We start from the raw sequence: 17,377 nt of genomic DNA on the forward strand, positions 1-17,377 counted from the left end.
TAAATGTCATAATTCAAACAAGCAGTAATCGAAGTGACTGTGTTGTATCAAAACGTGATGTCTGTAGAGGAAAGAGAGAGATGAATAGGTGCAGCATAGAGGATTCTTAGGGCAGTGAAACTATTCTGTATGATATTGTAATGGTGAATACACGTCTAAAAACATAGAACGTACAACACCAAGAGTGAACCCTTATGTAAACTATGGACTCTTGTGATCATGAGGTGTCAATGTCCGTTCATCAGTTGTAACAAATGGGCCACTCTGGTGGGGGATGTGGATGATGGGGGAGGCTGTGCATGTGTGGGGAAGGGTGGGGAAAGGGAAATTTCTTACCTTTCTGCATAATTTTGCTGTGAACCTAAAACTGCCCTTAAAAATATAGTTTATCAAAACATAAAAAAAAACAGTAAAACTGTCCACTATATCTGGTTTGGAAGGGATTATTTTCAAAGGTACACATAGTTTGCAAATTATATCCACTGGTACAGGTAACAGGAGATGCTACACTCCTGGGTCGCCCTAGCTCATTTCTCTCCCATCTGCATGTCCCAATAGACACCATGTTTAAATCTGTGCCCATGTATTGCTGAAGTCCTTTAGGCATGAAGAATTCCAGTGATGGGGAATTCTCTGTAAATTTGCATTTTGGGAGTAGAAGGGAGGGGTCTACACATGGCAGAGGGTGTGAGCCATTAGGGATATCAGGGCCAGAGATGCTGGCAGGTAAAGATTGGCAACATGCCAGGTCAACATGCCCAGGCAGGAAGTGATGCCGCTTGAGCTGCCTTTTCAGAGCAGTCAAGACTGGAATATCCCCAACTAACCGAGCAACCCCTGAAAAATCAGATCAGACTTACCTAAAGGAAAAAGAATCAGGCTAGGGAAAGAAGAATGAATGGCAAAGCTTAATGACTTCAATGGTAAGAATTTATCACTAAGAAGCAGAAGCAAACCACTCATGTGGAGAACAGATGTTGTGGACTTGATTTAAGTAGTACCAAGTGAGGGTGAAAGCTTGCAGGAAGACATATTCAGGACCAGTCTATTAGAAATGCAGTTTTAGTCCCAACTAAACCTAGTGAGTTTACATCCATTCACTTGTCTTGCGTTTTTCTCTCTATTATTCCCCAGCCACGTTGCATGAACATTAGTGGTCCAAGCAAGGGGTGTTGCGAAGGGTCGACCCACTGAAAAAAAATTGTCCTGTTATTTGCCTTGCCCCCTGCCCCCAAGTGTTAAGCTGAGTGTGGAGAACCATTCCAGGCCAAGTTTCCTTTTCAAATGTGCTCTTGTTAGCTTTTTTTTTTTTTTCAGGAATTCTTCAGTTTCTGGTACACCATGCTCACTATACAGCTGTTTTCCCATAATCTCTGAAGATTAGAGTGGGAGGGGAGGATGCATTTATCTTGAAACATAAATCTTCCATTTAAGTTGTGATAGTAAATAACAAGGGGATCAAGAATCAGCCTCTTCTTTCTCTTCTTCGCTTTCCATGCTCAAAAAGACTCACTGCCAACTGAAGTAGCTTCTCTGCAGGGATTCTCTTGCTTTCTGCTCCAGGCTCGCTGTGGACAACTCCATAGTTTGCTATTGCTCATGACTTAGAATTCTACCTTGTTATATTATGCTTCCTCATTACAAGCTTCAGGGGAGATGTACATTGGCTAGGGACAGATCACATATTTCTTACTTTCCTTCTCTTTATCCCCCCGAAGACTCCTCATAAAGACTTTACTGAACAGTAGGGGTAACCAAGGAAAGTAAGGCCCCATTATCCTTTTTAAGCAAAATCCTGAGCATGCATAGGAAAGATTCTTCAAGTCATCCCAGGATAGGGTGGTGAAAACTGGATTTACTACATGGCAAAGTCTCAAAACAAGCAAAGGATAAAATGCATTTAATTGCTTTTTTTAAAGCTAGTTTGTGTAAGAATCCAAGTGATTTATTTTTCTTTTAGCACTTATCAAAGATGTTTTATAGTTCAAATCTGAACTTTTTCTGATGTATAAAAGGCACAAAATAAGTTATATGAAGTTCTTAATGACATGACTACAGAGTTTCCCAGTTGAAATAAGTTAAAAGCAAATACTATTGTGAAGATTTTCTTTCATTTGTTTATAATATTTAATCCAAAGTTGGTGAAACCTTAGATTTCCCTCTTGACCTTGACCTTAGCTCTACTTGGCAAATTATTCGAATTGTAGAGTATTTCTTGTTGAGGAAAGCATTCAATGTTTGGCTCAAAAATGTACAGGCACTGCAACATTGGACTTAAGAGAGAAAAGCTCCAGAATACAGCTTAAATAGATACATGGAATCCATTCACATTTTTGGTGTTCTGGAGAGTCTCAACTCTGTATCACTGGTGTCATTAGAGAGGCTCAGGACTAGAAGAACAAGGTGGCCATCAACCTTGTCAACATACAGGAAGTTATTTGAAATATTTGTAATGTCTAAAAAGCAGCCAACAAAATGGTTTACAAATACAACGAAGTAGATAAAACCCATTATTTCCAGAGGTCCTTGGTCATGATGCTGGGAACTTTCAATTAATCTAAGGAATTGGTCACCAGCATATGATTTTTTAAATTCTTCTTTCTATCATTAAAAAAATAAGAGTATTAAACTAGAAAAGTTTCTGAGGTGAGAATCCTATGGCAAGTGGCTTTGTTTTGGTTCAGGATATGTTTTTGGATAAGAAAGAAAATCTTTTATGCAGTCTGAATATTTAAATATTTAAATTTAAGATTGATAATAATTGATGCATACCAAGAAGAGTATGGAGATCCTGGAGTAGTGACCAAAACAAACAAACAAATAAACAAAAAACACACAGAAAAGAATAGAACAAGAAACTCCTATGATAAATTTGATTCTGTTTGTCATCGAGCAATTTTTCTCTTCTCCTATACACTTCCACAGCTGTTCATCTTCCAGATGTTCTCTCTTGTGAAGCCTTGTCTTTTAAGAGGTTCATGTTCCTTCAAGATAAATCATTCTTTTCCATTCCCCAAAGTATTACTTGCTCAAAACAAGCCATTCTCCTAATCCTCATTTAAACTTTCCTAAATTTAGCACAACTCTTTTGGACACTAAACTGAACAATTTATAAACTTGAAGTCTTGGTGGAGGGCAAAAACTGTCCACTTTGGCAGCCAAATGGAAGGAAGCCAATCTTCCCTCTTGCCTTCCCCTGTTAACCTGGGGGCAGGCAGGTTACTCAAGCCCAACTAATAAGATGCTCCTGCTCAAGTCTTTGGAACCAGAGGAGGGGAGGCAAAGATAAAAGATGGTAGAGATTATTCACAATAGCAAAGAAATGGAATCAACGCAAATGCCCATCAATGATAGACTGGATAAAGAAAATGTGGTACATGTACACCATGGAATACTATGCAGCCATGAAAGGAATGAGATCATGTCCTTTGCAGGGACATGGATGGAGCTGGAAGCCAGTATCCTCAGCAAACTAACGCAGGAACAGAAAACTAAACACCACATGTTCTCACTTGTAAGTGGGAACTGAACAATGAGAACACATGAACACAGGGTGGGGACCAACACACACTCAGGCCTGTCAGGGAGTGGGGTGGGAGGAGGAAGAGCATTGGGAAAAATAGCTAATGAATACTGGGCTTAATATCTAGGTGATGGGTTGATAGGTACAGCAAACCACCATGGCACGTATCTACCTATGTAACAAACATGCACATCCTGCACATGTATCCTGGAATGTAAAATTAAAAAAACAAAAGATGTTAGAGATACCATTTCATGGTGTCCATATTGAGAGCCCAGCAGCAATGACAGCTTCGAGAATTCAGTGGCCGCATGCAACGCTGTTGGCATTGACAATCCTGCGGTAGTTGTCTGGCGCTCTGACCGTGAAACAGATTGTCCCTGCAGTGTGACATTAGTTGTATTTTCCAACTATCTAGCTTCTTCTAGTTCTTGACCACATTTTGAGGCTAAGCCTATAGCTTTCCCAACATTCCTGTGAACTCTCTATTTCTTTACAATAAAGCCTTTAACAGCTGGCAGATTTGACTCCTATTATTTCAACCAAGATTGTTACACTGCCTACAAAGTAATTCTTCGAGGCTTTGGCTTATAGTGGGACCCTTCTTGTGTTTCTGGTTTTGGCACCGAGGCATATACGTATGTATTCATGGGTCATTATGTAGAATAGTTGGCTTCTCTTCGCAGAAAGTTGGCAGAGAGAAAAGGAGATTCAACGTGTCAGTGTACTTTGCTTTCTTGATTCAGATTATTTTTCTATAAACTGAACTATGTAGACTAAGGGAATCAGGAAGGCAGAGGGTTATGTGTGTCCACTGACCCTTGTTGGTGCCTGTCTCCAATGAGGAACTCTTCTGATTTAGACATTCTTGTGCTTTTCTTTTCCCAATGGGTATATTTTCATACCATGTGCTGTTCCAAATTCCTGAGTTTCTGGTGAGAACCACATGTTGCCTTGTTCTGTGTGTCTTCACTGGGTGTATTTTTATGGTGCATGCCCATTACTACCCAACCCTTTGCTCCTGTTGCTCAGACAGTCATGATTTGTAATAAGCAACTCTGTTCCTCAATCCCAATTGCCCCAAAGCGACACGAAAAACAAGGTTGAGTTGGAGCCAAGGGAGAGAGAAAACCCTCGGTAATGAGTCATGGGATAGGGCAAAACAGGCACGCAGATTATCCCTGGCTTCTTAGGGGCTTCTTCTTCAGATGTGAGGCTGCTGCTTCTTCTCCCCAGTATCTTTTTGCTTTGGAGGTCAGATGGCAATTTTGGTGGAGATTATACTGTGGACACTGTGCTTGTAAGACTTCTTCCTTCTCCTGCATGAGCTATGTATGAGTTGAGGAATGCCTTCACAGAATCAGCAAGTTCTCAAATAGCTCACATTTTTCCAGGCTATCATGGGTATCTCCCATGCATTCATAGGTTTGTAGATAGTCAGGTATGTATGGAGAGTTAAGTTTCTCAGATTTTCTATGCTTGTGGACTTCCATGTTTCCTCCATTAAATTTCTTACTGGTCTGCTTACTGCTCTGAATTGCATTCCCTGCCTGCAGTTGTAGAGCTGTGGGTCTTTGCTGCCAGCTTCAATCTGGCATTGCCATCTCTCCCTACCTGTAATGATGCAGGTTCTGAAGACTGAGTGTGTTGGAAAGGACGACCACAGCTCCAGGAAAGAAGGCCACATACCCACCACTACTATACCAGATACAGCAGCACCATTTCAAGAGGAAAATCTTCACAGTTTCTTGTGTCTCATTTTTTTTTGTTGTTGGTCATTTTTTTCAGTACCTCAAAATAATTATTTTAAATAATTTAGTCCAGTTTTGTGCTTGTTTTCTAGGAATAGGAATTATCTGACCTCATGCTGCCTTTACTGGAAATAGTCTTACAATTGTTCTGGGAAAGAAGACAAATGAATTTTTATGGGACTCTCAGTTCTCATATATGAGTGTTTATTATATTTCTCATGGAAAAAATAAAGTTGCTCTTGATAGAATGTCACCACTATGGAGTTATTTTCTGATATACCTACAGGGGTTATTTTTTAAGATTTCTTTTTTGTTTTGTGGAATGTTCCAGACTGATACAGCTCTCTCTCTAGAGGTCTTTTGCAGCTGCAGTATTTTCAAGGGTTCATTTGTTATTAAATCTGGCTGGCCAGAGTAGGTTAATTCCTTTGAGATACAGCTGCAGCCATTTTTAATGGCAAAAGACGCTATTTTCTTTTAAAATCATTTGTACAAATGGAGTATCATTTTACATGTTCCTAAATTTTTCTCCATCCTTTTCCTCCTCTCATTATGTGTTTTCTCGATATTGTTGCTGTTTTAGTTTTTTTTTTTTTTGTCATTTTACTGTTGTCCCAATAGTTTGGTTGTACTTTTTAAATAAGCTATTTGAACTCCTTTTTATCAATATGAGAGTGTATGAATAAAAAAAGAGAACACTATATTTAATAATTCAATCATTTTCTTTTGAAATTCTTCCATGTTTACGCTGAGACACATTCATTACATGGGGCAACTAAGAGCTGTGGAATAACCCACAATCTGCTTTCTGCATCTGATACTTACAAAAAGCTCAACAGAGTAATGGAGAAGGAGCAAATAAACCTTTCAACCTGTGTTTCTCAGTCTTTTAAAATCTGAGATCCCTTTAAATGAGAAAACATACTCTCATTGTGCTGTTGGTGTTATGTGAAATGTACAACAAAATATAACAACCTCAGTTAATTTGAGAGTACCTTAATCTATACGTTTAACAGTTTAATCTTTTTTTTTTTTTTTTTTTTTTTGACAATATCTTACTCTTGTGCAGGCTGGAGTGCAATGGTGCAATCTTGGCTCACTGTAGCCTCAAACTCCTGGGCTCAATCCATTCTCCCACCTCAGCCTCCTCAGTAGCTGGGACCACAGGCATGCACCACCATGCCCGGCTAATTTTTATTATTTTTTGTAGAGATGTGGTTTTGCCATGTTGCCCAGGCTCATCTCAAACTCCTGAGCTCAAGCCATCTGCTCACCTTGGCCTCCCAAAGTGCGGGGATTACAAGCATGAGCCACCGTGCCTGGCCCAGCTTAATATCTTTGAACTCCAATGGAGGAGGAGGTTAAGGTTCTAATATTGCCTCTTGGAACATTGCTCTACTTCTATTTTAATTCACAAATGTAATTAGATGTTCTGAAAAAGAAATGTAGCTAATTTGATTTAATGGTATCAAAGTCTCAAATGCAACATGAATGCATTGGGAGGGGCTGAGAACCCAGATCCTTACCTGCTCAAGTGACCTGTTGGATTACTACCAACTCTAGGCTGGGCACAGTGGCTCATGCCTGTAATCTCAGCACTTCGGGAGGCTGAGGCTGGCGGATCACCTGAGGTCAGGAGTTCGAGACCAGTCCGGCCAACATGGTGAAACCTCATCTCTACTAAAAATACAAAATTAGCCAGGCGTGGTGGCGTGTGCCTGTAATCAGCTACTTGGGAGGCTGAGGCAGGAGAATCACTTGAATTTGGGAGGCAGAGGTTGCAGTGAGCCGAGAGTGCGCCTTTTAACTCCAGGCTGGGCAAAAAGAGTGAAACTACGTCTCGAAAAAACAAAAAAACAAACAACAACAACAAAAAACAACCAAAAACCAAAAGAGTACTACCAACTCTATACTTACCAATACTCTATACTCTATACTTACTTACTTACTATTATTGCTATCAAAAAATAAGGAAATGGTTTCAGACTATGTGCTTACCAATTCCTTGTCCCGAAACCTTTGGAGTATACACTTAAGCAGCATGGCTTAATAAAAACACAAACAAAAGCAGCATTGTTTTTGAAGTCTGGGTCATCAGACGTAACTTGCATCGTGGTTTTGAGTGGAGAAGAAATAATGCTTATTGTGGTTTTACCTTAAATTGGAATATTTATGTTAATTGCATCATTAGCTCTTCGTCAGTAGTATTAGAGGTTCCAATAGTTTAATAGGCTTTTCCTGCTTCTTTAAATTCAAACTTCTCAAACTTTTGTTTTTCTAGAGAGCTCTGGCAAGTTTTTGTTGTGATTCAAAATGGCAGCCAGTCAGCTCCCTGCCTCTCCAGCCTGGGATCCTTTAGCCCCATCCTGTCATCCCAGGGCTCATTTTCTTCCTTTCTGGGTTCTTTGCCAACATTCTTTTTCTGCCCTGCTGGGATTTCTTAAAGGAGCAAGGCTTTTCACCTTTCTGAACTGCAGAATCCCTATTCCCTGAGACACAACAATATTGAGATTAGACCAGATAATAACCCAAATAATAATCTTGCAGGGTGCAAGATTGGATTCAGGAACAACAGGGTGGAGGCTAATGCAGAAATCTGCGTGCTAGATGATGGCAGTTTGGACTAGGGTGGTAGCAGCAGATAAAAAGAAGTGAATATCTTTGGGATACCTCTTGAAAGCAGTCAACAGTACCATTGGATCACCCGAGGGGAATGGGGGAGAGAGAAGTAAAGAATAGTCTCTAGCTTGGCAACTAGGGTGTTTCTATTTACTGAGATGGAGAAGACAAAGAAATGTTAAGACTTCTATTTTTGATGCATTTTCTTTGAGATGCCAACCAGATATTCAACAGGAAAAAACATCCAAGTGGTTGGATATATGAGCGAGGCTCGAAAGAAAGGTCTGTCTGGTATTTGAAAGTTTTGCTTTAAGAGATTGGATTTCAACATTTCTCCCGCCCCCTTCCTGTGTGCTTTCCAGTATTGCAAAGGCCTGGAATTTAAGGTGCTACAAAGCCTCCTCTCCTTAGTTTCAGAACCACCACAGTGGTTGCAGTGAGCCAAGATCGTGCCAGTGCACTCCAGCCTGGGTGACAGACTGAGACCGCATCGAAAAAAAAAGGACTTGGATACACGCTACCTCTCAATCCCAGCACCAAGACTTCAATCACTCAGGCTCCCAAAGGCTAAACTCTCAACTCCAGAACCTCTATTTAGTTTAGGGGTAGACCTTGTTTTATTGCACTTCCCAGATACTGTTTTTTTACAAATTGAAGGTTTGTGGCAACTCTGTGTAGAGCAAGTCTATCAACACCATTTTTCCAATTGCATAGGCTCACTTCATGTCTCTGTCTCACATTTTGGTAATTCTAGCAATATTTTAATCTTTTAAATTATTATTATATCTGTTATGATGATCTGTGAACAGTGATCTTTGGTGTTACTATTGCAATTGTTTTGGGCCACTACAGACCATTCCCATGTAAGATAGCAAACTTAATGAATAAATTTGTGTATTCTGACTGCTCCACTGACAGGCTGTTTCCCTATCTCTCTCCTTCTCCTTCAGCCTCCCCATTCCCTGAGACACAACAATATTGGGATTAGGCCAGATAATAACCCTACATGGCGTCTGAGTGTTTAAGTTAGTGGAAAAGTCACATGTTTCTCATTTTAATCATAAGATTAGTGAAGAAGGCATTTTGAAAGCTGAGATAGGTTGAAAGCTAGGCCTCTTGTGCCAAACAGCAAATTTGTGAATGCAAAGGAAAAGTGCTATTTGAAAGTGCTATTTCACTGAACATATGAATAAGTAAGCAAAACAGCCTTATTACCAATATGGAGAAAGTTTTAGGGGTCTGGATAGAAGACCAAACCAGCCACAGCATTCTCTGAAACCAAAGCCTAATCCAGAGCAAGGCCCTAATTCTCTGTAGTTCTGTGAAGGCTAAGACAGGTGAGGAAGCTGCAGAAGTAAAATTGGAAGCTAGCAGAAGTTGGTTCATGAGGTTTAAGGAAAGAAGCCATCTCCATAACATAAAAGTGCAAGGTGAAACAGCAAGTGCTGATATAGAAGCTGCAGCAAATTATCCAGAAGACCTAGCTAACATAATTGATGAAGATAGCTACACTAAACAATAGTTTTTCAATGTAGATGAAACAGCCTTCTATTGGAAGAAGCTGCCATCTAGGACTTTTCCCATAGCTAGAGAATCAAAGCTATTACCTGGCTTCAAAGTTTCAGAGGACAGGCTGACTCTCTTGTTAGGTGATAAAAATGTCGCTGGTAGCTTAAGTTGAAGCCAATGTTCAATTACCATTCAAAAAAATCCTCAGGCCCTCAAATGATGCTAAATTTACTCTGCCTGTACTCCATAAATGGAACAACAAAGCCTGCATGGCAGAATATCTGTTGATGGCATGGTTCACTGAATATTTTAAGCCCACTGTTGAGATCTACTACTCAGAAAAAAGATTCTTTTCAAAATACTATTGCTCATTGGCAATGCACTTAGTCAAGAGCTCTGTTTGAGATATACAAAGAGATGAACGTTGTTTCCATGCCTGCTAACACAACATCTATTCTGCAGCCCATGGATCAAGAAGAATTTCAGCTTTCATGTCTTATTAGTTAAGAAAGACATTTCATAACGCTATAGCTGCCATAGATAATTTTTCTTCTGAGGGAGCTTGGCAAAGTAAATGAAAACCTTCTGGAAAGGATCCATCATTCTAGATTAATTACATTTACTAATTACATTAATAATATTTGTGATTCATGGAAGGAGATCAAAATATCAACATTATCAGGAGCTTAGAAGAAGTTGATTCCAACTGTCATGGATGACTTTGAGGCAGTCCAAGACTTTGGTGGAGGAAGTTACTGCAGATGTGGTGAAAATAGCAAGAGAACTAGAATTAGAAGTGAAGCCTGAAGATGTGACTGAATTGCTGCAATCTCATGATAAAGCTTGAATGGACAAGGAATTGCTTCTTATAGATGATGAAGAAGTGGATTCTTCAAGAGGAATTTACTCCTGATGAGGATACTGTGAATGTAGTTGAAGGGACACAAAGATTTAGAATATTATATAAATGTAATTGATGAAACAGCAGCAGGGTTGGAGATGATTGAGTCCAATTTTGAAAGAAATTCTACTGTGGGTAAAATGCTATCAAACATTATTGTATGAGACAGAGGAATCTTCTGTGAAAGGAAGAGTCAATTGATGCAGCAAATTTCGTTGTTGTCTTATTTTAAGAAATTGCAACAGCTCCCCAATCTTCAGCAATCGTCACCCTGATCAGTCATAGCCATAAATATTGAGGCAAGACCTTCTACCAGCAAAAAGATTATGATTTGCTAAAGGATCAGATGATCGTTAGCGTTTTCTTTTTAGCAATAAAGTACTTTTTCATTAGGATATGTGCATTTTTTTGCACATAATGCTATTGCACACTCAGTAAACTAGAGTGTGAACATAACTTTCATATGCACTGGGAACCAAAGAAATTGTGTGACTTGCTTTATTTTGATATTAACTTTATTGCGGTCATCTGGAATGAAACCTACAATATCTTCGAGGTCTTCCTGTAGGTCTCATCTATATTTTTCTTAGTTGTGAGGGGAAGGATCAGGACACAAATTTTAAATTATCAAAAAAAAAGAGTAAGGACATTCTGGAATTTATAAAAAGAACATTAAGCCTCTCATCTTTCAAAATCTTGCTATTTGCCCTCTACTCTGTGGTGGTGATGGTTTAATTTCTTCCCTCAATCCTTTCACAGCTGGTAATGGTCTCCTTATTGAAGGAGAAAAAGGATGTCTCTTGAGACACTCAGTTCCGACCACTTAAAGACACTGCATATCTTCCCTGTTCTCTTTAGCATCTCTTGTTCAATGTATTTCTTGGCCTCTCTGGGATCTTAGACGATTGTACATATTTTTTTAATTGCAGGAAAAATCCTCCCCTATAGTTTTAATTCAATAAAGTCTTTAAAAGACTTCGTTGAAATTTGAAATTTGCACAGGCCTAGAGAGAAGGAGAGGTAAGAAAGCAGAAAAGCAATTTAAAGCACAGAAACTGGAATAGGCAGGAGCCCAGGACAGAGAGACAGAAACCATATTTCCTTGACCCTAGTTTACCTGGCTGAAAAGTGAAGAGTTGGCCGGGCACAGTGGCTCATGCTTGTAATCCAGGACTTTGGGAGGCCGAGGCGGGCAGATCACCTGAGGTCGGCAGTTCCAGACCAGCCTGACCAACATGGAGAAACCCTGTCTCTACTAAAAATACAAAAAAATTAGCTGGGTGTGGTGGCGCATGCCTGTAATCCCAGCTACTCGGGAGGCTGAGGCAGGAGTCGGAAGTTGCGGTGAGCTGAGATCGCGCCATTGCACTCCAGCCTGGGCAACAAGAGCGAAACTCCATCTCAAAAAAAAAAAAAGAAAAGAAAAAAGAAAAGTGAAGAGTTGGTTCATTAGGCATCAGAATTGTTTCTTCCATGCCAATAAATTAATTTTAATTGAACGTATCTTTCAAATACAATTTGGTATAGTGTCTACACAGAGTAAAAAGAAAACAAAGAGAAGTTAAAATAATTTTATAGACTATGAGAAGAAAAGAAGGATAGTATAAGATTGGCCATAAGAAGCAAAAGGAATTACCTTTCACGCAGCAATATGTTTCCTGCCTTTTGTGGCCTATAAATATAACTAGTTATGACATGTTGGGAGTAATATAATGTTTTCAGTTCCAGTTTTCTCACTGGCCTCTGAAATGTAAATATCTGCCAGTCAGTCATCAACTTTTTACAGTTCACCATGCTCTGTGTGGTTCTAGGTTTGTAATAATGGATTTCCTTTGCAGATATATCAGGTGACAACAGCACCAGATCTTGGGCTCACATAAAGCCACGTGAAGAGTTGGGCAGGGTTTTCCTTGCAAAAGAGCAGGTACAAAACATAAGCTCATTTGACACAGTTGTCAGTCTCATTTTCCCAAAAATGTGGGTGTCTGTGGTATCAATGCTAGTTGGATCCATAGGCTGAATAAAAATCCTTTTTGGTGCTGAAACTCTGCCTGCCCCGGGATATCTCTCCCACTGACCTCCCAAGTACCTTCAGATAACAAAGATTGAGCTAGTTTGTACTGTTTCTTTGGATGACAGCATGAATTCTTCCATTGAAATAAATTTGTTTAGTGCATTATTTGCAGACATCTCAGTTGGCCCTTGGGAAATGAAGTAAAAAAAAAAAAAGAAAGAAAAAACAGGTACATTTTGATGTGTCACTGAAGAATTGAGGGAATAGGAGCAGGAAGGGAACCATCCAGGATGTGAGAGAACTTGGAGTTCTGGGAACAGCCAGGCAGCTGCTTGGTGCTGGTATTGCTTTTGTCATTTTTGGTTGCTATGGTCACCCTCTGAAGTGGGTACTGATATTTCCATTTTCCGGGTAATGAAACAAAGTCTGTGTAGATGATAAATGGCAGATCCCAGATTAAATTTAGGTCAAGATCTTAATCACTGTGCCATTCAGCAGCATTCACTGCAGGAAGAGAGTGAATTTTAGTCATCTATTGTTTCCCAGAAGGAAAGGTGTGCACAAAACTGGCAGAGAAAGCTCAGACCATCATCTCCCTGACTCAGAAAATCTTGCTTAATTATGTTTTACACATGTAGATAATCATGTATCTTGTACTTTTAGAGGATTGTTCTAAGAAGTGTTTCTGCTTTCCACCACTTTTTACTGCCTTAATCATGATGTGGTGTTTTCTTTGTTTACATTTTGGTAGAAGATTGATTAAAGCAGCAAACTAGCTCTAATTGTGTACTTATAAATATTCTTTAATCTTCCCAAGTGTTTATATTTTCTCTTCCTAATTTGATTACAAGCATTTCAAAAAGCAGAACTATATCCAACTCATATTGAGTTCTCCAAAAAGTGTTTAATAAATGCTTGGAAGCAAAATGGGCTAATGGAAACTTTATGAACTTCAGGCTTAAGAGAGAATCCACTTGGTTGTACCTCTTAGAGAAGGTATATGGCAATGACATAATTTTACTATTATTGGTCCTAAATAACCTCAAGATACAGTAGAAACTGTGGTCTTATTTTTAAAAAGAATAGTCAATGCAAATTTCAAAATTTGACAGATTCAAATACACACCAGTGTTAAATGCTAGTTTAACACACACCACACACACACAAACACACACACACACACGTATGGTATTTTAAGATTCACTGTCCATATGATATCCATACTATTCAAGATAGTGATATTAGAATTTAAGCCAGTAAAAGTTTAGCTCTTTTGAAATAGGTATAAATCTTATCAGTATATAAGAAGTATTTATGACTCTGGGATAACATATTCAAAGTGCTGAAAGAAAATAAAGAAACTGTGAATCAGATACTTGATATCCAGCCTACCTACTATTCAAATGTGAAATTGGAAAAAATTACATTTTCAGATAAATGGAAACTGAAATAATAATTTATTGCCAATAGACCTGCTATAAAACAAAACAAAAACTTAAAGGACATGATTTCATCTGAAGGTAAATGAGACTAGATGGCATTTCAGTTCTTTAGGGAGAAACAAAGAACACCAGGCATTGTAAAAATATATGCAAATAAAATAAATGATGCGTATTTTCTTTGTTTCCTTAATTTTGTTGATATAATATGGCTTTTTAAAGCAAAACATTACATTATATTGATGGTTTTTATAATGTACATAGTTGAGATATGTAACAAAATGTGGTGCAAGGATGGGAATAAATTGAAATATACTATCACAGAGGTTCTTTATTATGCAAGAAGAAAGTCAGTATCAACTCTATATAGATTAGTATAAATTTAATATGTGTTGTAATTCCCAGAGCAGCCACTAAAATGTATGTGAAGAGAAGCTGCTAGAAAGCCAATAGAAAAATTAAAATTGAATGCCAGTAAAAGGCAAGATAGGAAAAAACAAGGCAATAGTAATAACTACAATATCTGAAAAAAGAGACACAAATATTAAATGATACAATCCTATGAATAACTACATTAAATGTAAATGAACTTAACATTCCGATCAGAAGATAAAGACTCATACTTGATATAAAGGCAAGAACTAAGTATATGCTGTGTACAAGAGATACATTTGAACTACAAAGACACAAATAGACTAAAGGTAAACACATGGAAAAAGATATACCATGAACAAGATAGCCAGGAGAAAGCTGCAGGAACTATGTTAATATTAAAAATAGACTTCAGTATAAGGAGGGACACTACAAATGATAAAAGGGTCTGTGCATTAGGAAGATATAACAATTTTAAATGTATATTTGCCTAATAACATTGTGAAAATATGTGAGACAAAATCTATGAAGAAAAATAAGGATAAGCAGATAAATCCACAAACGTGGATGGAGACTTTAACACACACTCTAAGTAGCTGACAGAATAATCAGATCTAAAAAGAGATATAGAAAGTCTAAATGACAGTCAATGACTTTATCCCAATTGACATTTACAGAACACTAAAACAACAGCAGCGGAACACACATTTTAAAAAGCACATCTATATAGATACGCATAGTTAACACCCAGTATTTGCACTCTGAGATGCCTAGTGAGATCTGTTTACATACAAATTAAATAATGCAAACAATGGTGAGAGGACGGAATTGTCAGCAAAGGGTGTGAGAGAACTTTTGTTGCAAATGGCAAAGTTGTATACCACAATTGAGGCATTGGATGATATATATATAAATCCTATATATATACACACACACACACACAATTTGATGAGTTTTGACAAATGCATATATTTGTCAAATGCATATATTTGTCAAAAAATATATATCAGTGTGTTTGTCAAAACTCATCAAATTATACATTTAAAATTGCTGACTTTTATTGTATATAAATTACACTGTAATAAAAATACTCATCCTCTAAAACCCAATGATGAACTCTTCTGAATGTTAAAAATGGAAGGAATAAATGGGTACAATTTATTTCCACAAAAATATCATCACCTTTTATTTACCAATAATGCATACATACATAGCTTCCATTTTCAATAATTGCTTTATAGATATTTTTAATGATACTGAGTAGCCATTACTCTTTTTTTGGGGGGGTGGGGTACTTATTTTTTTTTTCTTTTATTATACTTTAAGTTTTAGGGTACATGTGCACATTGTGCAGGTTAGTTACTTATGTATACATGTGCCATGCTGGTGTGCTGCACCCACTAACTCATCATCTAGCATTAGGTATATCTCCCAGTGCTATCCCTCCCCCCTCCCCCCACCCCACAACAGTCCCCAGAGTGTGATGTTCCCCTTCCTGTGTCCATGTGATCTCATTGTTCAATTCCCACCTATGAGTGGGAATATGTGGTGTTTGGTTTTTTGTTCTTGCAATAGTTTACTGAGAATGATGATTTCCAATTTCATCCATGTCCCTACAAAGGACATGAACTCATCATTTTTTATGGCTGCATAGTATTCCATGGTGTACATGTGCCACATTTTCTTAATCCAGTCTATCATTGTTGGACATTTGGGTTGGTTCCAAGTCTTTGCTATTGTGAATAGTGCTGCAATAAACATACGTGTGCATGTGTCTTTATAGCAGCATGATTTATACTCCTTTGGGTATATACCCAGTAAAGGGATGGCTGGGTCAAATGGTATTTCTAGTTCTAGATCCCTGAGGAATCGCCACACTGACTTCCACAATGGTTGAACTAGTTTACAGTCCCACCAACAGTGTAAAAGTGTTCCTATTTCTCCACATCCTCTCCAGCACCTGTTGTTTCCTGACTTTTTAATGATTGCCATTCTAACTGGTGTGAGATGGTATCTCATTATGGTTTTGATTTGCATTTCTCTGATGGCCAGTGATGGTGAGCATTTTTTCATGTGTTTTTTGGCTGCATAAATGTCTTCTTTTGACAAGTGTCTGTTCATGTCCTTCGCCCACTTTTTGATGGGGTTGTTTTTTCCTTGTAAATTTGTTTGAGTTCATTGTAGAGTCTGGATATTAGCCCTTTGTCAGATGAGTAGGTTGCAAAAATTTTCTCCCATTTTGTAGGTTGACTGTTCACTCTGATGGTAGTTTCTTTTGCTGTACAGAAGCTCTTTAGTGTAATGAGATCCCATTTGTCAATTTTGTCTTTTGTTGCCATTGCTTTTGGTGTTTTAGACATGAAGTCTTTGCCCATGCCTATGTCCTGAATGGTATCCATTACTCTTAACCTTCTCTCAATGTACTTTGCCATCAATAAGAATAGTCATTCTTATTCTTAACAATTTTAAGAAGGTCGTATTGACTATAGAGTATTGCATTTTTACTTGATATTCACAAAAGGAGCCATGGGCTATAATCTAGTGGTTCTCAAATTTAGCATGCATCAGCATTACCTGGAGGGCTTGATAAATACAGATTGCTGGGTCCCATCTCCAGAGTTACTAATTCAGTAATTCTGTGTGAACCTCTGGATTTTGCATTTTTAGCAGGTTCCCACATATGGTGATGATATTGGCACATGAACTATATTTTGAGAACCAATATTATGAAGACTATGGAGAATAAAAGTGATCATCGGTTTTTCATGTGCGTTCAAGAGAGCAATTTGAATCTATACATGAGGGGCAGCACGCAAAGCACAGATAAAGTTTTTTTTTTGGTCCAAGGATCTCCAGAGTCACTCACTTATTTGAGAGAGACTGTTAGCCAAAATATATTGTTGTTACATTAAGTATTTAATTATGTACCTTTTCCAGGAATGACTCAACAAAGGAATAAACTTCTTTGCTCAAGAAATACATGCAATTTTAATATTAATTTCAACATTTTCTCATAGTCTGGATGAAAACTCCACTAACATAAAAACCATGTCTTCTTGTTTAGCTTAGTAATACGGCTAGAGTAAGCAATCCTAACTATCAATGGTGAAGTACCCTGTATATTGATGCTCTTCAGTTTTTCTGGCTTAGAATGTTGTTGTTCTTTTTTCCCCTTATGAATTCAAAGTTTTCTTTAAAATGAAGGTTAAATTCCTTTTCACTCATAAACATCTTCATTAGATAGCCTTA

General features: G+C 38.1%; 2 long non-coding RNA genes across 2 annotated transcripts in view; both read left to right on the top strand.

Annotated features, from left to right (window-relative positions):
* LOC105371874 (uncharacterized) overlaps positions 1-17,377 on the top strand; it is a 56,293-nt gene that overhangs the window by 26,220 nt on the left and 12,696 nt on the right. The window lies entirely within an intron of this gene.
* On the top strand, positions 3,699-5,527 carry LOC124904050 (uncharacterized). Its single transcript, XR_007065888.1, has 2 exons — positions 3,699-4,964; positions 5,152-5,527. It is a non-coding gene; the product is annotated as an uncharacterized LOC124904050 (long non-coding RNA).

Source organism: Homo sapiens, chromosome 17 (assembly GCF_000001405.40).
Source record: "Homo sapiens chromosome 17, GRCh38.p14 Primary Assembly".
Taxonomy (NCBI): Eukaryota; Metazoa; Chordata; class Mammalia; order Primates; family Hominidae; genus Homo; species Homo sapiens.